The 25,109-nt window shown below is 37.4% G+C and overlaps 1 protein-coding gene across 6 annotated transcripts in view; it reads right to left on the bottom strand.

Annotated features, from left to right (window-relative positions):
* TDRD7 (tudor domain containing 7) overlaps window positions 662–25,109 on the bottom strand; it is an 84,030-nt gene continuing 59,582 nt past the window's right edge. For 5 of the 6 annotated variants that reach the window (NM_014290.3, NM_001302884.2, XM_047423111.1 and 2 more), the window contains 8 exons: window positions 24,292–24,494; window positions 23,161–23,295; window positions 21,318–21,404; window positions 18,214–18,348; window positions 15,849–15,959; window positions 13,436–13,938; window positions 9,455–9,615; window positions 662–1,124 (listed from right to left, as the gene is read on the bottom strand). In NM_014290.3, the coding sequence (NP_055105.2) occupies window positions 904–1,124; window positions 9,455–9,615; window positions 13,436–13,938; window positions 15,849–15,959; window positions 18,214–18,348; window positions 21,318–21,404; window positions 23,161–23,295; window positions 24,292–24,494 (1,556 nt within the window). In that variant the 3' untranslated portion in view covers window positions 662–903. Of the gene's footprint in view, window positions 1,125–9,454; window positions 9,616–13,435; window positions 13,939–15,848; window positions 15,960–18,151; window positions 18,349–21,317; window positions 21,405–23,160; window positions 23,296–24,291; window positions 24,495–25,109 lie in introns of those variants that run through there. The other variant, XM_047423113.1, reaches the window with a different exon arrangement.

Genomic DNA, 25,109 nt, shown 5'->3' with positions numbered 1-25,109 from the left:
AGAACCAGTTGTCAAACATTTACTGGTATATCACCGGAGATGACTAAGACCCGTCCCTCTTTCAGGGAGACCATGATCTAGCTGGGGTAATCGGTGCACAGACTAGTCATATACTATAAAACACAGTGACATATGGGCACCAAGAGAGGCATGATCAAAGTACGATGGAGTAGAAAGGGGTACCAGAGAAAGCTTCATGGTTGGCCCAGGAGGTCAGGCAGGACACTGACAAGCAAAAATGATGGGAGGAGAATGAGATGCAGGTTGACAGAATGGAATAAGCAGGGGTTCAGTGACCAAATAAAGGTACAGTGTGGCAGGGAGTGGTAGATAAGGAGGTTGGGTAGGAGGATTGTAGAAAGCCTGGGTCCTAGCTGGACTCTGTGGGCAATGAGAAGAGAAGCCACTCAAGATTTGGGTTGAGGGTCACGTTGGTTTGCCTGGGCTGCTCCTCTAGAAATGCTGATGTGTTAAGACTCAGGATAAGTCCTCACATGCTTTGGTGATCACTTGCTTTGAGATACACTACTACATCAGGGTAGAGTTAAGTCATAATAGTCTCAGCTTCACTGGAGAAGAACCCAGCTCTGCAAGGAAGACAACATGAAACGGAAGCTTTCATCTTAAGATCATGAAGCCTAGAAATTAAAAGGTAGTCAGCTTTTATATTGATAAACATTTTTATTCTAATATTATAGTAATAATTCAAGTACAATTTTCTTTGAAAAGTCAACTCTGTTAAAACAAAACTTGTTAAATATCTTTCATCAAACATAAGCATATTCTTTTCAATCCCCCACAGCAGTCAGAGCCATGTAGCAGAGTTAAGATTTTTTTTAAGCCTACTACATTTTGTTATTGCTAAAAAATCTGAATTAGTTGTCAAGGTTTCAGAGGCAGTCATTAATTAACTTTTGAAAGCTCTATCAGATACTCTGACATAAAATCATGAATCCAGGTATCGGTGTCTGGCAACGATGTGTCCACTAAGTAGACCACTACTTTCCGGTCCCAAGGGTTAGCATTTTCAATGACTGTCTGCACCAGTGCCACCAGAGGTTTCTTCTCCACATGATTTCGAAACACCATAGAAGCCTCCTCAGACCACTGGTTGCACTTCACTCCTAGGAGGAAGAGAGGAAGAAGAGGGAGCAGTGAGGAGTCAAAGGAGCTTTTCTTTGATCCATTATGATGGAAAATTATTTAGTCAATTCCAAAGTAACTTAAGCATCCCAGGTTAGACTTGCCTGAACTGAAAAACGGTTACTGAACAATCTTAAAACACTCCAGCTTATAGTTTTTCTACTCTGAATGGAGTCACTCTGGAAATCTTTAACTAAAAAACAAGTTTCATTTGAGACTTAACATTGTATTATAAAATGAGGTAATAATGACTACTGTACAACCCCCATAAAGTATATGCATATTTAAACTAATAACAGAATAAAATATCAATATCATATTAAATGACATTTCTTTCATTAAAAATTTTTTTTCTGATGGACCAAATATCATAAAAAAAAAGAATTATTGTATGATTCATTTACAGTATAGTTATTTAAAATTATACACAGCATCGTGGGAAAAGCACTGAATTGAAAGTCAACAGACTCAGTTACTATTCCCAGCTTTTCCTCTATCGGGTGGTGTGGTCTTAGGCAAATCAGCTGATCTCACCTATGATAAAAGAACCTGATTGGATCAGATCATGAGAAATCAAGTTAGAGAATTCTAAATTCGATTTTAAAACAAAACTGGGACAAGAAAGTACACATTGGCCGGGCACAGTGGCTCACACCTGTAATCCCAGCACTTTGGGAGGCCAAGGCGGGCAGGTATCTTGAGCTCAGGAGTTCGAGACCAGCCTGGGCAACATAGCCCAGCCCTGTCTCTACAAAAAATACAAAAATTAGCCGGGTGTAATGGCCTGTGCCTATAGTCCCAGCTACTCAGGAGGCTAAGGGAGGAGGATCGCTTGAGCCTGGGAGGTCAGGGCTGCAGTGAGCCGTGACTGCATCACTGTACTCCATCCAGCCTGGGTGACAAAGTGAGACCCTCTCGAAAAAAAAAAAAATATATATATATATATATACATATATATATACATATTTCAAGAAATACAATTAAGTCCACATATACTGGATTACATAAACTGTAAATTATGCCCCAAAGTAATTAAGATATGGAAATTTCAGACATAATTTTGGAAGACTTGCTATCTATATAGCAAATGGGCTAAATTCTTTGATTATTTATTTCCCACAAGAGAAGCCTAGAAATTTCATTTTATCTGCAGCAGCCCTGACAATCTTTGAGCCATGTTATTTAAGAAGAAAAAAGGTAACCCATTGGTAAGGTAAAAGATGATTCCACAGTATGGCTCCCTTTCTTCTAGGATTCAGAAAATTTTGTGCATGGCCATGGTGCACTGATGCAAAGAATGCCCAGGTCAAGGCCAGATGTAATGAAGCAACAACTCACTGGTGTTGTGGGAAGTCAGGAACCCCAAATGGAGGGACCGGCTGAAGCCATGGCAGAAGAACATAAATTGTGAAAATTTCATGGACATTTATTAGTTCCCCAAATTAATACTTTTATAATTTCTTACTCCTGTCTTTACTGCAATCTCTGAACATAAATTGTGAAGATTTCATGGACACTTATCACTTCCCCAATCAATACCCTTGTGATTTCCTATGCCTGTCTTTACTTTAATCTCTTAATCCCATCATCTTTGTAAGATGAGGAGGATGTATGTCACCTCAGGGACCCTGTGATGATTGCGTTAACTGCACAAATTGTTTGTAGAGCATGTGTGTTTGAACAATATGAAATCTGGGCACCTTGAAAAAAGAACAGGATAACAGCAATGTTCAGGGAACAAGAGAGATAACCTTAAACTCTGACTGCCAGTAAGCCGGGCGGAACAGAGCCATATTTCTCTTCTTTCAAAAGCAAATGGGAGAAATATCGCTGAATTCTTTTTCTCAGCAAGGAACATCCCTGAGAAAGAGAATGCGTCCCTGAGGGTAGGCCTCTGAAATGGCCGCTTCGGGTGCGGCCGTCTTTTATGGTCACTGCTGTAGGGATGAAATAAGCCCCAGTCTCCTGTAGTGCTCCCAGGCTTATTAGGACGAGGAAATTCCCACCTAATAAATTTTGGTCAGACCAGTTGTCTGCTCTCAAACCCTGTCTCCTGATAAGATGTTATCAATGACAACGTGTGCCCGAAACTTCATTAGCACTTTTAATTTCGCCCCGGTCCTGTGGTCCTGTGATCTCGCCCTGCCTCCATTTGCCTTGTGATATCTTATTACCTTGTGAAGCATGTGATCTCTGCGACCCACACCCTATTTGTACACTCTCTCCCCTTTTGAAAATCACTAATAGAAACTTGCTGATTTTACGGCTTAGGGGGCATCACGGAACTTGCGGACATGTGATGTCTCCCCCGGACACCCAGCTTTAAAATTTCTCTCTTTTGTACTCTGTCCCTTTATTTCTCAGACCGGCCGACACTTAGGGAAAATAGAAAAGAACCTACATGAAATATCGGGGGTGAATTTTACCCGATATCTGGCTGAAATTTCCCCCAATACACTGGGAACCTTGAAAGGGTGGGCATCCAGTGATCCCATTTGTGAGCGAGTAAGGGGTAATCCCAAGGTCCCTGGAGAATCCTTAAAGCATTCCAGTTTAAACACTCAGGGCATTCCCATGGGTTCCACTTAGATTCCACAGAGCTCCTTTACATCTAGAGATATTCCTAAATATGTCAAAGGGCTTGGCTAGGTGTGAACCAAGTCTACCAAAGTGATGACTCCAATGGCCATGTCACAACCAGTGACTTCCATGAAACTTCTAGTCTACCTCGCTTCTCTCTAGTGGATGCCTATGTTGGCCCAAGAGAGACATACTCTCCGCCACATATAGTTTAATAGTTCCAGTTCATATGTTTTCAATTAATTATAAAATGGAGGTCCTCCCTTCAAAATGGATAATGTGATACCCAGGAAGATTTTGTGACTTAGGAGCAAGTCAAAAGGAAGAAAGAAGGCTTGGCAGAGGTGAGCCTAGAAAAGGAACTCAGGACATGGATGGGACCCAACAGCAATGCTGTTTCAGATGTAAGTGTACAAAGAAACTTTCATGTATTTGGACTATGAGTTTTAGTTCAAAAGGCAATTTCATATTCACTTTTTCATCTGATCCACATATTAGTTCAGTCACATAGACAGGATAGGAATTTACTGGTAATTTTATAAATAATCATGGGGTAGGTTTAGAAGTTAAATGACTTGAATCTCAGCCTTTTGACTTCAAAAACCACACTTTTCATGGAGAAGGAAGTATACAGTGAAGAAAGGCACACACTGAAGAGGCAGAGTGCTGAGTTTAAGGCTGTGGTGTGGGATCTTGGACAAGATATTTAACTTCACTAAGCTGCTATTCCCTGATGTGTATAACAGTTATAGTAACAGTACCTAAACCTCCTAGCATGGGGAGAGTTCAATGAAGTAAAGCAGTTGGTAGAACTTCTGCCTACCGATCTGGCATGTAAAGAGCTTAGAAGTTGCTACTGCCTCCTAATAAGAAACAAAAAGCTGAACAAACAGAAAATCAACAACTACTCCTAGGTCCATCAGAGAAGGAAGGTCACAGGGCAATTCACTGTCCCCAAAACCAGAGAGACAGACAGGAAGATACTGAGAGTCAAAGCGTACTAGAGCAGAAACCAATGAGCAGAGGCCTGGAAGCCAGAGGAGGGAAACCTAAACTGTAACTGACAAATTGCTAGGGGTACATGTAAATAAGTCTGAGAGTTAAAAACTCCAGGGGAACCCAGTTATAGGGCCCTGTCTCCCACACTTTTGAGAGTTTTACCTCCAGAAGCACTACCTGGTACTCACAGTGAATATCAGGGAAAAATCTCCTCATGCTTCCAGTTGGGGGAGGAGAAAAGGAACATTTTGAAATACACCAGAGCTTTCTGTTTTTCTTAACAAGCTCTGTCCTCAGAAGAAACTATTTTACTAGAGCCTGACCTCACAGGGTTTTATAGAGCTTAACCTTCCTGGGGGAAGGGAAATACCCAACTCCACTCCCCTCTAGCCATCCTGCTCCACCTAAGCTAGGGGGAAAGACCCCAAGAAGCACTGGTGAAGTTCCCAGTCCAGGGGCACAGGCTCAACAAAAGACTGAGACCTAATCATAGGACTACATAACATCCCTCACACCCCAGACACACATTGCTGCTGCTACATTACAAAAGCCTTATTTACCCAGATTTCCTTTTACCCAATGTATCATGTCCACCTTTCAACAAAGAACTACAAGTGATATGGAAGGAAAAAAACACAGTTTGAAGAGACTGAGCAAGCATCAGAATCAGAGTCAAATATGGCAGGAATGCTGGAAATAATCAGACCAGGAATTTAAAACAACTATGATTAATACGGTACCAGTGTTAATGGAAAAGCAGACAAAATTTAAGAACAGATGGATAATGGAAGTAGAAACACAGAAATTCTAAGAAACAATAAAACAGAAATGTGGGCTGGGTGTGGTGGCTCACACCTGTAATCCCAGCACTTTGGAGGCCAAGGTGGGAGGATCACCAAAGTGGGTGGATCACGAAGTCAGGAGTTCGAGACCAGTCTGGCCAACATGGTGAAAAAGCCTGTCTCTACTAAAAATACAAAAATTAGCCAGGTGTGGTGGTGCATGCCTGTAGTCCTAGCTACTCAGGAGGCTGAGGCAGAAGAATTGCTTGAACCTGGGAGGCGGAGGTTGCAGTGAGCTGAGATCGTGCCACTGCACTCCAGTGTGGGTGACAGAGCAAGACTCTGTCTCAAAAAAAAAAAAAAAAAAAAAAAAGAAAAGAAAAGAAATGCTAGAGGTCAGAGGTCAGAAACACTATAAAAGAAAATAAGAATGTCTTGGGCTTCTTAATAGATTAGACTTGGCTGAGGGAAGATCTCTGAGTTCAAGGATATGACAACAGAAACTTTCAAAACTGAAAAGCAAAGAGAAAAAGTACTGAAAAAAAAAACAGAACAAAAATCCAAGATCTATCAAAGGTGTAACAAATGCATAATAAGAATTCTAGAAGGAGAGAAAGGAACAGAAACATTTGAAACAATAATGACTGAGAATTTCTCCAAATTAATGTCACACACTAAATCATTGATCTAGGAAGCTCAGAGAACACCAAGCAAGATAAATGCCCCCCCCCCCACCAAAATATATCTAGGCATATCACATTCAAACTTTAGAAAATCAAAGATGAACAAAAGTCTTGAAAGAGACCAGAAGCAAAAAACCACCTTATCCATAGAAGAACAAAGATAAGAATCTTTGTTCTGACTTCTCAGAGAAGCATCTGACTTTTCAGAAATCATGCAGCAAGAAGAGACTAGAGGGTTGAAAGGAAAAAACCCACCAGCTAAAGTTCTGTACCTTATGAAATTATCCTTCAAAAGTAAAGGAGAAATACAGACTCTCAGACAAACAAAAATTGGGAGAATTTGTTGCCAGCACACCTGCCTTGGAAGAAATATTAAAGAAGTTCTTCAGAGAAGGAAAATAATATAGGTCAGAAATTAATATCGACATAAAGAAAATCAGAGAATGAATAAGTGAAGGTAAAGTAAAACTTTTATATTTCTTTTTCTTAATTCATCTATTAGATAGGGTTTGTTCAAAATAATAGCAACAATGTATTTGATTCTGTATGCGTGTGTGTGTGTGTGCACGTGTGCACATGTGCATGTATCTGCTTATATGTAAGTGAAGTAAATGACTGCAATGATACAGGAGCCTGGAGGAAGGAATTAACATTATTTTGTTATTATACAGTACTTGCACTGTCTATGAAACAGTGCAATGTCACATGAAAGTAGACATGGATTAGTTCTAACTGTATATAGCAAACTCTAGAGCACCCACTAAGAAAAGGAAAAAATAGAGATATAATTGATATCCTAAGAAAGGAGAGAAAGTGGCATTACTTAAAATGCTCAATTAAAATAACAAAAAGCAGAAAAAGAGTAATGACAAAAATAAGAGCAAAGAACAAGGAAAACAAATAGAAAACAGTAACAAATATGGTAGATGTTAATCCAACTATATTAATAATCACTTTCAATGTCAATAGTCTAAATACACCAATTAAAAGACAGAGATTGTCAGAGTAAATAAAAAAAAATAAGACTCAACTACATATTATCTACAAGACCACTTTAAATATAAAGACACATATAGAGTAAAAGTAAAGGGATGGAGAAAGATATACCACGTTAACACTAATTGAAAGAAAGCAGGAGTAGGTATATTCATTTCAGGCAAAGCAGACTTCAGTGCAAGGAAAGTTATCAGGGATAAAGAGGGGCATTACATAATGGTAGAGGGGTCAATTCTCCAAGACGACATACTAATCCTTAATGTACATGCATCTAATAACAGATCATCAAAATACATGAGGCAAAAATGGATAGATCTGCAAGGAGAAATGAAAAAAATCCACTCTGATAGGTAGAGATTTTAAAACCCCTTTATCAGAAATGGACAGATCCAGAAGGCATAAAAATAAGTAAGGACATAAGTGAACTCAACAGCATCATAAGTCAACTGGATGTAATTAACATCTATAGAATACTTCATCTCAAAACAGCAGATTATACATTCTTCTCAAGCTCACATGGAACATTCATCAAGACGAACCACATTTTGGGAAATAAAACACACATTAACAATTTAAAAATAATACAATGTTTTCCCTCAGACCACAATGGAATTAAATTAGAAATCAGTAACAGAAAGATAGCTGGAAAATCCCCAAATACTTAAGAGATTAAGCACAGTTCTAAATAACACATGGGTCAAAGGATACATTTCAAGAGAAATGAAAAAGTATTTTCAGCTGAATGAAAATATAGCACATCAAAACTTGTGGGATGCAGCCAAAGCTGTACTTAGAGGGAAACTTGTAGCACCGAATGCATATATTAAACAGGAAGAAAGCTCTAAAGTGACTGGTAGAGCGCCTAGCACACCATAAGTACCAATAACTCTTAGCCACAATGCTGGTGATGGGGATGATGGTACCATGCACTCATTCTTCACAGAGAAGCCTTCTCTGGGGAGTATAACTGTCACATTTAACAAAATGTGTTGTTAGGAAAACCTGAGCATTAGAAAGTGAAAACAAAAAAAAAAAAAAAAAAACCATTAAATCTGAAGAAGAAGGTCTGAATCTAAACCACACTAACTGGTGGCCATGCTACATGACAGTGTTATTTTTGCTTTATATCCAATTACCATAGGATTTGCCTTTGAATTCTAGTAGGAAGACACAGAGAAGCTGGCAATATTTCAAAATAAGGCAATACACAGGCTTCCAATAAAAGCTGATCAATAAGTAAAAGAAGAACCTATATACACAATTTCTTTCATTGCTGACATCACATCACTTCTGTCACTGTGTTCCACATATGGGGCAAGGTGCTGAGGACTGTGAGCAGCAGCAAAGTGATCAGGGAGGCACCCCTCAACTCTTTGGGCCTCAAAAACCTCTGCTAACGCTACAAGGCCTCTGGGTTGAGCTTCATCCAGCTGTTCATGCTACATAATGGTAGGGTGCTCACAGGGGAGCCACCAACAGTTGTATTGCTTTCACAAAAGATAAAAGGGAAGTCTCATTAGACCACATTACAAGGAAGTGTCATTGTATGCCTGTTAAATTGGTTCCTCCCATTTTAATGACAATCAAGAGGCTGATGTGAATGTGGTGAAATTGCTCCCTTGTATGCTGTTAGTTGTGCTGCAAACTGGAAACTCACTTGGTCATGAAAATGGTCATATATTCCATGACCCAGGAATGTTTTAAGATTGCATAATACTCTATTATGTAGATGTATTATAATTTATGCGATAATAATAAAGTATGATCCTCCTACTGGTTATTATAATAGGTTGTTTCCATTGTTTTTTGGTTCGTTTTAGCTAGTGTAAAGATGCAGGGTTTTTCTTGATATTACAATAAAAATGTTCATCAATAGGGAAGTATTGATTAGATAGAATTTTTGCACCCATTAAAAACAAGTAGGACAACCATAAAACCACCCAGAAAGTCATTAGAAAACAACACTAGATGAAGAAAAGCAGAATGCAGTATTATATCTGTACTAAGATCACAGCTTTAGAAATATACTCATGCTTGAAACCAGAGACAGAAGGAGTAGAGAAAAGAGAAACAGCAGATATAATGATAGAGCACGACTGTAAGACATCATTAAAATTATTTCCATTATGGTTGCAATATTATTAGCACAAAAAAACAAAAACCCAACATACCTAAACTCAAGAGGCCAATGATTCAGTACTTGCTAAGTACCCAGGATAAAATGACAATATTGCATTGTTGTAGCATGAGTTCAGATTCCACAGAAATTACCTGCAAGTTGAGCTGTGACTGCTTGGAAGGGCAGCTTTCGGAACATGTCCACTAGGGGCTGTACTTTTCTTATGTTGACTAATTCGTGTTTGCCATAATCCAGCTCATACACAGATACCAGTCCATTGGTCAGGATTCCTTTTAAAAGCACCCTGTGCCACCTAGATGTACATTAAATTAAAAAGGAAGAGAAAACACATAAACTCAGTACCTGCTTTAAGGGCAAGAAATATTTTATGATAAAAAGAAAAATTAATGCAAATTATGTTTATCAAAATTTAAAACTATATTTTCAAAAAAGTTTTAAAAGCATTTCCTGCTCCTTTTTCCAAAGCTTACTATTCTCTGCTTTGCCACTGTCTTATTTGATAGAATTTGCTCATTCAAGAGACTTTTATAAGCCCCTGGAGTTAGTGAAGGAAAGAGACATATAAACTGTCAACCATCATTAATTAGAAGAAACAAACACCATGGAGGATGACCAGGACAAAGCCAGGGGATCCCTTCACTGAAGGAGGGTGGACAGAAGATGGCCACATGTTTGGATATGGTACATGCTTGGACGATGGAAAGAGAGAGGCAAGCAGGACCAGCTGGGGATGAAGAAATGCTTGAGAAGAAAAGCACAGAGGACTGGAGAGGGCATAGTGTTTTGGAGCAGAGCAAACCTTCCAGTATAGTTAGAGAGTGGAATGTGTGGAAGAATGGAAGAGAAGTCAGACTAGGAAGGCACGCTGGGGACAGATCAAATCAGTTTTGTACAAAAAAAGTTTGCAATTTTAATTATGACAAGGTCATTAAAAAAAGAACAAAACACAAGATTCAACCCACCACCTAAAATAAAGAACCTGGAAAAGGTAGAGGAGTATGAGGGAGGTGGAGTATGGCTTCAGATCTGGAGCTCAAGGCACCAGAAGGAAATCCACAGGAATCTACTTACCCCTACAGAAGCTACATCAACATCATTAAAATGAGAAAAACCCAGACTTCAAGGTTAATAATGAAAGATCACTTTAAAGTCCTATAGTCTCAAATACATGATTAAAAAGTATTACTACATGAAGGAAAGGAAGATTGTTCCTAACAGCTGAAAGAAAGTGTCTATGGAGGTGGTCTCTGCTGCTAAATGGTGGAAATTGGCCTCTAGTTCAGGTGGCATGGTCAGTCATTCTCTGGAACAGGTTTGCCAGCCAGAAGCCCACCAGAACAGCAAGCCCTGTACCACAACACACTGCTGGACTGGGGCTGGCTGGAATGGACTGTTTCTCCAGCCCATATACACCTAGTATAGGAAACCCATGCAGCTGCTATAGGATGAACTACAGAGAAACCCCGAAACAAAAAGGTCAGCTTTCAACACTGTAACTGGGGGCTTCTGAGGGAACTCCAGAAACTTTCAGACAGGCTCAAAGTGCAGCAAGCAATACTCCATGAGTCCCAGAGACAACTGGGACACAGAAAGGATACATAGTATGTACATGAGTTTTGGGGGCCAAATAGACCTGAATTAGAGTCCCACCTGGGCTCTTCATTTAAGCTCTGAGCCTCAATCATCTCATGTTTAATATTTAATGTAAATTCACTTACAGAAATAATACATGGAAAGTGCCTGGGACATTACTTGGCTAATAATAGGCACTTGGCAAATGATAGTTATCATCATTATTATTAAAATGAAGACAAGCTACTATAAATAAGAACTTCAGATCAAACTGAAGAGAAATTTTCACAGGTGGAAACACTTTCGGTGTAGGTTGCTAATTTGTGTAAGCACAAAAGGAGGTAAAAACACTTGGTTTCCACCAACAGCGTCATCTTAAAATTGTACAGGGCAAATTGGTGGTGGTCTGTGTTTTTAGTCCATAAATAAGTGGTATAGGGCAGTGAAGAGAGAGTCCCAGAAAACTGATGTGTTGTATTTCTATTTAGTTTTCAACTTTCAAAACTAATAGCTTAAGGGAAGACTTCAGTTTTGACTAGATTACTAAAATTCAGTACTGGCATCACCTGGAATTTGTTAACAACAGATTCTGGAGCTCCACCTGCAAAGATTCTGATTCAGAATGCCTGGGGTAAGGAAGAAGAATCTGCATTTTTAATAGGTTTTCCAAGTTGTTCTTATGCTGCGATAGATTTGGAAACCGCTGTAATAAAAATATGTATCTAAAATTTCTAAGTCTTAACTTACCATAGTTGGGAACAAAGTTTAGTAAATAGTCCTGAGTCTTAAGGAAGACAGAAGTTCTAAACATTTTATACTGATTCAGTTCATGAAGTTTTAAAAAAATCAGATTATCTGTTTTTATATACAAAACATCCCTTGATTATCTGGGACAAATTAACTAAAGTCCAAGAGTCCTGGGGCAGAATGGTTCAAAGCCATGGAGGGCAGAGTGGGGAGTGCAAGGGCTCATATTGGAGCTCTCCAGTTGATGTGTTCTCCTTCCTACCCAACCCCTTTACTCCAAGGAGGATCTCCTCACCTTTAATCATCAATCTGCCCCCCAGAACATTAGTTTGGTTTTTAACTGTGATTGAATTATCTTACAAAGAGCTCTGATTGAGGCAAACCTACACAAGCTGAATTAAACCTATTTATGCTTGTGGTTATAAATAACACAACAGTAGAAATGGTTTTTTAGAGAAGAAAAGCTTATGACATACAAATTGTATGTTTTTCGAAATGAGAGCTTTTATACGCTTCACTGAGAGTTAAAAATTAGTTTTTTTCTCCCATGAAAATGACAAAACTTTATACATGCCTATGTTTGCTATCTTAAAGAATTAAAACATTTCATATAAAAAATAAGCAGTTTGACCTTTTAAACTGAGTTTTGGGGTGTGTGTGTGTGTGTGTGTGTGTTGGGGAGGGGTGACTGTTCTTTGTGTTCAGCATTGATAAATAAGCTTGTTCATTTCTCCTAAGCAAGCTGGCAAAGGAACAGGATGGGCATTGTGCCATTTCCCAGGGCTTCATGGCCTGAGTGGAAAGTGGACAGTGGGGTGTCTGGGCTTCACTTGGATGAAACCAGCACATCCTGCAGGGCTTTGGGGAGGAGGGTGTGGACCCAAATGTGAAAATATTAGAAAAAACACTGAAGCGCTAAAGAAATGTAAGAGAAAGTATGTTCTCACAGCCCCAAGGCCAAAGAGTAGTGAAATAAGCATTGTTGCTCCTTATGAAAGATGGCACAGATGCCAGGATGCAGCTGACAACATAAAGCAAGAGTCTTGCCATCTTCCAACAAGTGACTTTTCTTCTAGGAATCTATCCCGTAAATAAATAATCAGAAATGCAAAGATTTACATTCACTATTATTTATAATAGTGAAAAATACAGGAGAGAAAACCTTACATAACAAAATAGAATGGTAAGTAAATTATGATTTCATTGGGAAAAAGGAATTCTGTATATCATGATTAAAATAGCCATTATAAAGGTTCCTGAAGAAATTTTATCACATGGAAAAATGTTCATGACATAATGTTAGGTGAAAAAAGCAGGTACAAAATTATACATACTAATAATATACCAACTATATAAATATGCACATATAAAATTAGAGGAAATACATAAGTAGTTTAACAAGTGTTATGTGTGGGTGGTTGATTTTAATTTCTTATGCTTTTTTTATATTTTAAAATTTTTCCATAATATTTTTATTTTTAAAATAAAAAGTCATTAAATGAAAAAATCTGGTTATTTTCTGAATAAAAATATTTTTCTAATAGAAAAATAGAAAAAATATTTAAACATTCATTTTAGTTATATAATTGGGTTTTAACAGGAATATGGCCAATAGATTTTTTGATAAGTGACATCATTTTAAATACTAGAAAATCGGAAAAATTACTGTGTTTGTTTCACATTCAAAATTCCCATTAGTACAGTTCGAAGTCCCCCCGCCAAGATTAAGACTCTGGCATCATTTTACACATTTTTCTTAGGAGTAGAATAAAATGCTTTGTCCAAGGACCTACTTATTTTCCACTTTTGCAGCATACACTTGGTCTTTCTCCACTGCTATGTGGCGCTCTTCAGACACGCTGTAATATAGAATCATCTCTTCCATCAGAACTTCCAACTTATGTATCTCCTGCCAAGGCTGGATGACGAAGTAGCCTGGGTGACAGGCCACAGGCACATACACATCCATGTGTTCCCCTGGCTTTGATAAGTGGACAGGAGGTGGCAGTTCCTCTGTGGAGAAAGCGCTCGTATGGTCCACCATGGACTTTTTGATGACATCTGTGAGGTTCTTTCTGAAATTCTCTCCAGTGTTGCCCGACATGGGCATGTTGCCATTTTTGCTGTTGGGAGAGTCAGCTCCACTGGATATGGCACTCAAAAACACATCCTTCTGATGCTTCCACAAGTCTGCATTTGTAATCTGGCGATTAATACTGCGATGAGGGTCAGGGAAGTTCTTAGGGGTAAATAAATAAACATGTGCGATCCCTCTGGTTTCATCCACTTTTGTAACCTTTGGAAAACACAAAAAATGATATAAGAAATACAAGTTCACATTAAATTTTGAGAGGCAGTTATAGTAACCTTAATCATTAAAACACAGTATTTTGCCAAAACCCTTGCTAAAATCCATTTTATTTAAGGAAAAATAAATTATCACAGCTTGGCAATGAATGGGCTCTGAAGTCAAAATAGTCTAGGGAACAGTGCAGCCTTATGGAAATAAAAAATTTACTAATCTTTAAAAAGTCTGAGAAAACTTTATAACTTGCTAAGGTCATTATCATTGACAGAAAGGATTCTATATATCATGATTAAAATAGTTTAAATTAATGATATTTCGAAACACTTAAAGTAGAAATGATAAGTATGATGAACCCTGATATACTCATCACCCAGCATCAATAATAAAAAACAATCACAATGATGGCAAAATGATTTATGAGCGTTCTGCTTAAGGCTGGTGTGTCCTCAAGACTGGGAAGGGAAGGAAAAAGCTCTGACAACCACCATATCTGTAAGCACCCCTCTTTCAAATTCCTTGTCTGGTCCTAGTATATGTCCTCACCCCTTTCCCCATCGCCAATTACATGGGAGGAGAGGGACCTGGGGAGAAAAAGAGGAAGCAAGCTCCACAGAACGGGTCAAAATTAGTTTTACACTTTTTGTCCAGGAGACCTCTGACTACCTAACCATCTTTGCTCTTTCGGCCAGAGGGGTGTTTGTATGGAAATATCATACATTAATAATTGGGACTGTACTGCTGTGTGTCCCAAGGAGCTAGGTGACTGTTGGCTATTCTCATCAGCAACTCTGGTTTATCTTAGGAATGATAAAAATAAGATACTTCCAGCCACATTTATCTTTTACCAAATAGGGCTAGAAATGAAAGGCAGGAACACAGGTCTGCGGAGAGGGAGATAACAGCAAGGCAACCCATCTACAGTGATTTACTTAAAATTTCTTTTTTTTCCCAACAAGATGCCTCTATTACATTCATCCTCTGAAGTACTAATTAAATACTGACTGCAAATTCATTTTGAAATTTATAATACAGAAGTACAGTTTTAAAAATTAACAAAAAGTACTTTTATTGAGTAACCATCCAATATTCTGGCTTTAGGAGCTTAAAGAGTAGCTGAGAAAACAGTATTATCATGTGACAACTGAAGAATATGGAATAGTATATAATTAAGCATGTAATTGTACACTATAAACCCCAGAGGAATACAAAGACAGAAAAATCACTGCTAGCTAGAATAATTTAGAGGTCTTCATGAAGATATTTTTCAAGGACATTTCATTTTAAATGTTTATATAAAACAGTCATACAATTTCCATCAGTTAACAGAGAAAAACTATCTTCTTAAATTTGTATTCTTGGATATATGAGCAATGTTTTTGATTTAAAGATGCAAAAGTACAGAAAAAGAAACAAGAGCTAGTGAAATAAGTATGGCAGATTAAATAAACTTTAGGAAAAAGAGGCTGAGAACCACAATTATAAATAAATGATTTGTTTATAATCTATTCTACTTTGTGAATAAAAAAGAAATAGAGGACTTATTTAAATGATCTTTAGAAACATTTATCAAGAGATCTGTGGTCCCTCTGTTGGGGACTTAATCCCTTATCATGAAGCAAAACAGAAGTGGAGAACCATCTCTTCTACATTAATAATGGGAAAAATTATAAGAAGGATTTAAAAATAATACTGGAGAGACAGGATAACTTCTTAAATAAGAATTAAACCATAAAATATCTTACAGCTACACATGTAGCCAATTTGCTGAATATAAAAAATGTGTTGGATGTGGAAGCATCCATTTTACAGTGAGATAAAATTCCTTCACAAAAACTAAATGAGCCCTGACAGCTGCCAGCTCCCTTTCTAAATGTATCAGGCCCAACAAGATAGCTAACCTTAATGCTACAGTCCGAGCAATTCAAAACAGAATCTCTTAACCACAGCACTGCATCTGGTGTCCACATGCCAATAGATTGTGGAAGATCTGCTAAACAGCACTTAATGGCCTGAAAAGAAAATATGATGGAAAAGTGAACACACCATGTTAAAATACCTAGTTATGAGTAATGTTAATATTATTTTCCTACAAATCAAATGGTACCAAGATAGACAGCAAGCAACAACAGCTAATAACGACAATCACAGTTCCTGGTTTGAGCATCTGCTATGTTCCTAACTCTATTTATATAACTACTATTGTCTTTACTCCTTTATGAGCCAGGGCTTACCCCCAGCACTCCATATACTTCCCACCGTACAATACTTCTGCATGACAGGTGTTGCAGCCCCATTTCACAGATGGGGAAATGGACTCAGAAAGACTGTATAAGATACCAAAGTTGCAAAGACAGGGTTGGGACTTTTATCAAGGTCTACCCTCTAGCTCAACTTAAAAAAAAAAAAAAATCAATTGTCATTTGGAGGAAATCTGACTCCTGTTGCTTCATTCAGCATTTCCTGAGTACCTCGTGGGTACCAGGCACATTTGTTTGCCTTTTGAACAAGGCTGTAATGAGAACTAAGGAGGGTGAGAAAAACTGAAATCCACAGGTCCCTAAAAGCTTCATTTTCCCCAGTGCTTTTTAGCTCCTACCACCACTATACAAGCATCTGTAGAATGGCTACAACAGAGGCTAAAAAGTGAACTCAGGGATTTCCTTCAGCTTCAAGCAAACCCTCGAATCAACGGAAACAATTTTGTGAAGGGGATGAAACCCAGTTCCAGGATTCCTTTTCCTCTCTGAGCCCCTTCCTGTCTTCCTGCCTTCCTCCCTCAGGAGCTCTAAGCCTTTCCTTGCTCTGCTGGCTGGATGTGGTACCTTTCTTGTTGGAGAGGAGGTCACTTTAGAGCAGGCAGCACACTTGAATATCTGCAGGGGCTGGGCAGGCAACGAGGGAGTGGGGCAGACCCGATGGGGCCAGCAGAGGAGAAGGCCCCAAACTCCTAAGGAGCACTTCCCCACAAGAAGAGTGCTCAGCAGTCAGATTTTCCAATTTGTCAAGAGAGAAGCTAGAAGTAGGAATTTTTGTGTGAAATTTCCTAATTTTAAAATCCTGGCAACCAGTTCACATTTTTAAAATACTGTAAGAGCCAAGAGCCAAAACTCAGTATTTAAGGGTTGGCTTTGGCTTACAGTCCATCAGTTTGGTACTCTGATTTAGACTCTTGGAGAGATGTTGTGAGCCAGAGGCTTGGGCTGGCTGGCTTTTAAAGTACTCCCAACCAACAGTCTTCCCATTTGTCAAATAATAAACCTACACAAGATTATGAAAAAAAAAAGTTTAGTGATTGTTAATGCCGTAGCATACAGGTGGTACTGTTGTGGACTTTCAGACAATCACAGCGGTGGGACAGATTCCCAACTGCCCTCCAGCCCAGGGGATCTTTTCTAGGTAAGCCTGGCCCTGCATGGCTGTTCCAACAAGAGGTATTATTAAGTCAGAGTAGCACTTAAAGGCCCATCAATTTCCAGAATTATGGCTGAACAATGGACAGTAAAAATGATTTTGAAAAAAGCTTCTCTGTAATAGTCACGGCTAGAAAAAGCAATGGTGATGGGAGGGAGAGACATGTCAAAAGCCATGCTAATTATGGACAATGTTTTATTTACTGAGTTTGATGGCAGAAGATGTCTTCTTGAAAATATTAGTAACTGGGCATCTTGAAGTTGTAGAATACCGCATTGTTTTATTTTTTAAAAGATATTAATTTCTGCACAAAATCCTCTATTTCTCCTAAAGGTAGTGAGTAGTTCTAAACAATTCAAAATATTCAAAATCCTTATCATCTGAACATTCATGAATAAAGAAAGGATCAGCCGAAGTTCATCTTTTAATTAAAATGTATGGTGGGGAAGTCACCGAGAAAATGATTATGTCTAAACAGATTTCCAAAGAAAATGGTTACCTAAATAAACTAAAAACTCTAAAAATAAACATTTATACACAATATTCTGGAACTGTACATAAGTCAGTACTGGCATCTAATTATCAAAATGGAACCTGTAACTGGACAACACAGCTTAATGACTGGATGCTCTTGAAAACAAACATTTCTCAAACAACAGTATGTAAATATGACTGGTCTTCTTGTCTAAGTCAGCAATGTTTTACTTCTGAAAACCAGCAGACAACCACATTTGGACAATTTCCAATTTTCTTAAAAATTAATGAGATCAAAACTGAGAAGGCATCTTACAATAAGATTATGAACACATCCAAATCTGTTCCAGCAAATCTCCCAGGCTGGTAACATAGTACCTGAGGTGGTATTGCAATCATTTCTTGTAGAAACCGAGGTGGAATTTCCCTGAGCTCTGACACTTTTACAGATGTCACAGTGCCAGAGTCCAGGAACTGAACATCAAGAGCCCGGCTGCTGTGAACATTTGTGATCTGAAATGAGATAAGTGTTGGCTCATTTATTAGCATATTCAAAAGACCAAAATGCTTCTGTGCAATTACATTTTGTACAATCCTGAATGCATATTAAAAGGAACAGACTATCAGTGTTAAAATTTTCCCCTAATTTAAAATGTATTTATTTACTAAATATTATTATTATTATTATTTTGAGACAGAGTCTTGATCTGTCACCCAGGCTGGAGTGCAGTGGTGCAATCTCAGCTCGCTGCAACCTCCGCCTCCCAGGTTCAAGTGATTCTCCTGCCTCAGCCTCCCAAGTAGCTGGGATTACAGGTGCCCACCACCACAACCAGCTAATTTTTTTGTATTTTTTAGTAGAGATGGGGTTTCACCATGTTGGCCAGGCTGGTCTCAAACTCCTGACCTCAAAAGATCCACCCACCTTGGCCTCCCAAGTGCTACGATTACAGGTGTGAGCCACCGCGCCCAGCCTACTAAACATTGTTTTAGAGTAGAATTGCTTTCAACATCTAGTTAATCAGTAATAATCAGCAAACTGACAATAAACAGTAAAATAAGTATAGTAATATTTATTATTTCTCCAATTCTAGGACGTGATTTATTATAAAATGATTTGATACATTATTATATATTGCTGATTATAAGATACAGTCTGTTCTCCAAAATATTAAAATATAAGGGAAAAACTATTGTTTTGGGGTCAAAACAATAATTACCTTTGCAATTATTTGTATAACTATCAAGAATAAATACATGATTAAACATAGGATCTGCTTTTCACTAATTATTTTTCCTTCTCTGACTTTCCATACATCACTAAGAGAATGAGTACTCAAACCTTTTGTCTACCTTGAAGGTAGACAATATACAATTTGATAATAACAAAAATAATACTAGATATTTATCTAAAATATTTGGACATACACTAAGAAGGCTTCTTTCTGCCAAAAATGCATAACCTAAATTTAAACATGAAGATACTCAAATTGTGAGATACTTTACAACATAATGCTATTCTTCAAAAAGTCAGGAATAGCAAAGAAAGGCTGAGTAACTGCCAGGGTGGAGTATACTAAGAAGACATGACAACTAAAGACAATGTGGGATCCAGATTGTATGCTGGAGCAGAAAAAGTACTTTGTGGGACAATTTGGGAAATGTATGTTCTGTGGATTAACTAATGGTTTTGTATTAATGTCAATTTCCTGGCTTTGATAATTATGCAATGGTTATATAGATGTTAACATTTGAGAAGGTAAAAGGCCAATGAGACCTCTTTGTGCTATTTTTGCAACTTGTAAAAAAGGAAAATTATTTCAAAATAAAAAGTTGAAAAAGTTAGTATGCATACACTTATATATTTTAAATTAAATCACACAGAACTTTAAGATCTGAAGAATGCCATGACCTTTTCAACGAGTCATGTTTTTGAAGTTTATACCTAGGCACATACCCCTTGGTCATATGACCCGAGATTTCAGCCTTCTGACATACAGTCACATTAATAGCAATAATTACTTCAAAACTGCTACTCTCATTCAAGTAGACATGACCAAGTTTTATTTAAATAATGAAAAAAATCAATTCAATTAAGTTATCAAAATGTTGCTGTGCAGCATTTAAAAAATTCAGTAAAGCAACGATTCTTACCTTTTGGGGGTTGATTTGAGAATCTTACAAAATTATGCATACTTTTCCCCCAAAATATATAATACAAGCACACACACAATTTGCATACAATTCCAGGAGGGTTGAGGGACCCCCCTGAAAGTTGAGGTCCTTGCATCTAGGTTAAGAACCTCTGTATCAAAGAAAAAAAAGAAAAAAAAAATCAAGCCAATGTTTTTTTCTTAATTTTTTTTTGTTTAGTTTTTTTTTTTTTTCTTTTTGGTTTTGTAGAGATGGTATGTCACTATTGTGACCAGGCTGGTCTCAAACTCCTGACATCAAGTGATCCTCCCGCCTTGGCCTCCCAAAGTGCTGGGATTATAGGTGTGTGCCACCTCAAACTAGATGAAGAGAGGGAGGGAAAGCAATCACAAAAATCCAAAACTTGCCTTTTTAAAAACATATAGAAACGCAAGATAAACCACAACAAAACTCCCTTCAAGTTCGTAACTGAGCTTGCAAGAAAATAAGACAATTGTTAGTGACTAGAAATAGAAGAGTATGTGAACTTTAAAGCCAAAATTGTCTTGGGCAGGAGACATGGCCTTAGATCCAGGCAGGAGGCAGGGAGGATCTGACACTGCCCCATGAAGCCACAGTTCTTAAAGGGATATACTCTCAATGGAAGGCAACTTTGGAGAGCAATTAAGCAAGATCTAGTAAAATTGAAGATATGCATTCCCAATACCTAGAAACTCCATTCCTATGTATGTACCCTGGAAGACACAGACAGGAAGGTTCAAAAAATTAGGAACAATCTAAATATCCATCATCAGGAAGATGGAGTGATAACGTTGGCATATTAATAGTGTTCAATCATACAGCAGTAAAAATAGATGAACTACAGCTGCACACATCAACATGAATGAATCTCACAAACATAATGAATGAAAAAGCATGACCAATACCTCTTACAACTTACATAAAGTTTGAAAATATTTATTCATTTAGTTACACTTATTCATTTGCCTTTATATTATATACACATATTCATTAATATATTTCCACTATTTAAATATTAAAAATATATAGTAAAAGTGTGTATCTACAAGTACAAATACAGTAAGAATATAAACAAGTAAGAATGAGAAAAACACAAATGAAACTGGGGTGGAGGCAGAAGAAAGGAGATGTAAACTTTCTTCGACCATAACTTCAACCAGGAAATTTCAACCATACTGGTCATGTTTTATTTCATAAACTGATGATGAGTCTGTGAGTATTTATTCAATTTTTTAAAAAAACCTATGTGTATATTTGAAATATTTCACAATAAGTTAAGATTAAAAAGCCAAGTGACTGATTTTTACCTCTACTCGTAACCATTTTCCTTTGCAATGGAAGAGGCAGATTTTCCCACAGAAGGGTAATGAAACAAAGCACTCAGAGGTCATGTGCTGCAAAACAGAAATGCATGATACTCTTATTACTCTTAGCAAAGAGCATATTGCTACACCATTAGAAAAACAGATCGCTGTGGCACTGGCAGACTTAACCGACATGTAGTCAGACTTCCAGCAATGGATGCAGCAAACACACAGGGTTATAAAACTTTTGTCTTGTTACTCATACATTTGTTGACATCAGTAGTTTACTCTCCCTACATGCACATGGCTCATAAATCAGCATTGTTAACATGTCTAAAAACATTAGCATAAGATCATTATGATTCACTTAGGCACTGGCTCCATCAGTTACACATGAAGAGAGGTGTTGAATCTGACAAAAAGAAGAACAGTGAGGAGGTTGCGAGAGCTGTCTGTGGGCCTATTCTTTTCATTTTCATCTCTTCACATTTAGATGCAAAGATAACATTTTAATTCCAAAACAAAGAAATGTTATCAACACAAATATGTATGTCAGTGCCAGTTAAATACCAACAAATCACAGCTGTAAAGATGAAGTCTCCTCATCTTCCTCTTCTGCTGTAGTTTGAAGTTGGGGGTACCTGTCCATGGTCTCTTTCTGTTCAGGGTGTGTGTTTCTACTCTCCCCAAAGGCAATGTCTCACTTAGGTTACGAGTGCAGTAGGAAATATCGAGTCCTTTTCACCACCAAAGGTTATAAGGACAACATCCATACAAATGAGTCACTAGAGTCAGCCAAGCTGGGGGTTTCAGATTTTTCAAAGATAGACTTAAAATTAAACCTCTGTAACACAGAACAAGATAAAGCTATAGGAATGTCTCAATTCCAGACTGTACTTTGAATGCGGGTTTAAGCTGATTCGGCACATATTTTGGCATACCTATTCTACATAAGACACTAGATTAGATACTGTAAGGGATGCAGAAAATTGGTAAGGCACAGTCTATGCCCTCAAGAAGCATACGGTCTAGAAAGGCAAATAAGTACCCAAATAGCTAAAATATAAACCTGAATATGAATGCCCTGAGGTGCCTGATGTGCTTTGTGGGTTAGAGGGAAGAGTTCACTTCCAGGGACGAGGGGGTAAGGGCAGAAGTGGCAGTAGGGTTTAGTGATTTGGAAACCACAGCATATTCTGAAATATGACCATAATGTCCTAATGGAGGTAAGGAAACCATTTTAGGAACTTAAAGCACAATAAAACCTCTACAGAGCTCGATTCAGAAAAAAATAGTAGAATTAAAGGATAAGGAGCTTATTAATACAATTTGAACTGCAGAACCAAATTTATCAGGTGGCAGGTTCTCAGGGTCCATAAAGAGCTCAAGGAGTGATGGGTAAGGAGGAAGATGAAGGCAGAACTAAGGAGGAAAGTTTTATTATCCTCCTAAATTCCAAGGTTTCTCCTTGCCTAAGGCAGAAGAGTCAGCTGGCTCTAGCAGACAGTCACAGGCAGCTGCACTGTGGCATCATCAACTGCATGTTATAAATAACACATCTACCGATTGCTGTGCACTGACTACATGCCAGGCACAGTGTCCTCAGGACAATCCTATAGGGTACACACTATTGCTATCTTCGTTTTACATTGCAGAAACTAGTGTTGTGTTTTTCTTTTAAAGCTCTGAAGTCTGGAGCTCTTTACCTACTATTCTAGAGATTCCATTTCAGACTACTAAAAAATCGTTCATACAAAAAAAATTGTTCATACTTATGCAATTTAGTAAATTACTCTTGCTTGTAATTTTAGGGCTAATTTTAGAGGTAGAAGAGGTTCTGCTATACCTTGCAATGGAAGTAGTCCTCTATCTTACGTAGAAGGTCACTGAGCTTGTTCAGACCCTTACAAGGCACCTGGCAGTAGAGTGTCCCATCAGAGCAAATATTAGTTACTTTGACATTTGTGTACATGGCGTCAACCTATAACAGACAAAGGATACCTCGTGAATGCTTGAGAGCAGAATGCAGCTCTTACCTACCTAAAGGGTATCTACCTAAACATCCCATAACAAGTCTTTGCATTTTAAAATCTTTAAGTTAGAGTATATGTAAGATGAAATGCAATTTATAGCTTAAATGTACAAAACTAATTTGGATTCTTTTCTTTTTAAAAGAAATGTCTAATATCATTTATGCCAAGCACAAAATAGACATTGTGCATACATTCCCATACTCCATTGTCTGAAAGGCCAAGACTATCTTTAATGTTGGTTTATTTTCTCCCCATTTATTTAGAAAAAGAATTACATAAACCATGTTTTGTAACATTAACAGAAGTGAAAATAAACTCTCACAAAATCAAATCCATCATCAGTCTACTTTCTAACCTGTGTCCAGAGGTCATATGAATTTGAGTAATTTTAAAAAACCATAATCAAAGTAAATATTCAATTTTACCCATTTTTAGTCAAACCATAATAAAGACATTCACAGTGGTTCTACTTATTAAAACAGAAGTTTTCCCATTGTTTCTATGAAATCTTTAAAATGACCATTTTTAACATCTCATCCTATTCTCTTGGGTAGATATTCTATAATTTATTTAAAGGCTTCCTTCTTTTGGGGCATTTATGTTCTTCACATTAAAAAAAAGTTAAAGCTAATAATCAACATCTTCATGGACCCAATTTTCCCTTCTTTTGTGTTATTTTTCCTTATTATCTTTACAAAATAATCTCATATAAAATCAATAGATGCTCATTGCAGGAAATGGAAAATAAAAAATCCAGTTCCTAAGAAACAATTACTCTGAACATTTTGGTACTTTTTTCCCTTCTAGCCCCACTCCCTCCTTTTTTCCCCTCAATGTAAATGTAATCTGTCTCTATCAATTGTTAGCCTAAAATGTATAATATTCTGGTGATTTTTCTCTCATACAAAATGTGTAACAAGCAACAACAGTGATCACAGTGGTACCTGCAGGTGAACCTCTAGTGACTTGTCACATATAGCCTTCAAGCAGGTGGCATTGATATTGATATCATCTTCTCCTGAGGTATCGTACAGAACAACAAGTGGAATGTCAGCTTTGTCAAGTATTTCCACTGCAAAGATCTTTCCACAAGTTAAAGATTCAACCACCTTCACTAGATCAGGGTCATCGCTTAGGACTTCCAAGCCTGAAAAATATTGAATCTTTTAATTTCTACTTAATTAGAAAAATCATTTCAAGATGAATAGATGGATTGTGTCTGTTTTGACCATTATTAAAATTATAAGCCTACTGCAAAATTATTAAATTTTATATGAAAGCTTTGTTTTACAATCTTTATCTTACCTCTTAGGTTTTAAAAAAATATAATGTAAACGCCCTTTTGAATGATACACTAAGGCAGGCAATCTTAAAACAAGCAGAGAAACGGATAATCAATCAGAATTTCTACCTTGGGAGAAACAGTCTTCACTTTATACATGAACACATATTTAAAACCAAAAAACTAACACATATGAGAAGCCATCAATTATGTCTTCCAGTCATATGTTTGTAATGCACTTCCTACATATATACAATTATTTTTCTTATAAAATGAACACACATTTATTGGAAATTGAGACAACCACTATTGTTTCTTTTTTATTGACCCTTAGGATACCAAAGAACCTTCTGATTTATCAAAGACAGATTAAGTAGTGTTTAACACAGGTATTAGATGAATTTTGTTGTAGTCCAACTACTCTTTAAATTCTTAGAAAATTATAGTTCCACATAACATATATGACAATTCTAAGTTAAT

This window comes from Homo sapiens, chromosome 9 (genome assembly GCF_000001405.40).
Source record: "Homo sapiens chromosome 9, GRCh38.p14 Primary Assembly".
Classification (NCBI taxonomy): domain Eukaryota; kingdom Metazoa; phylum Chordata; class Mammalia; order Primates; family Hominidae; genus Homo; species Homo sapiens.
This window is presented reverse-complemented; position numbering and strand designations above follow the sequence as displayed.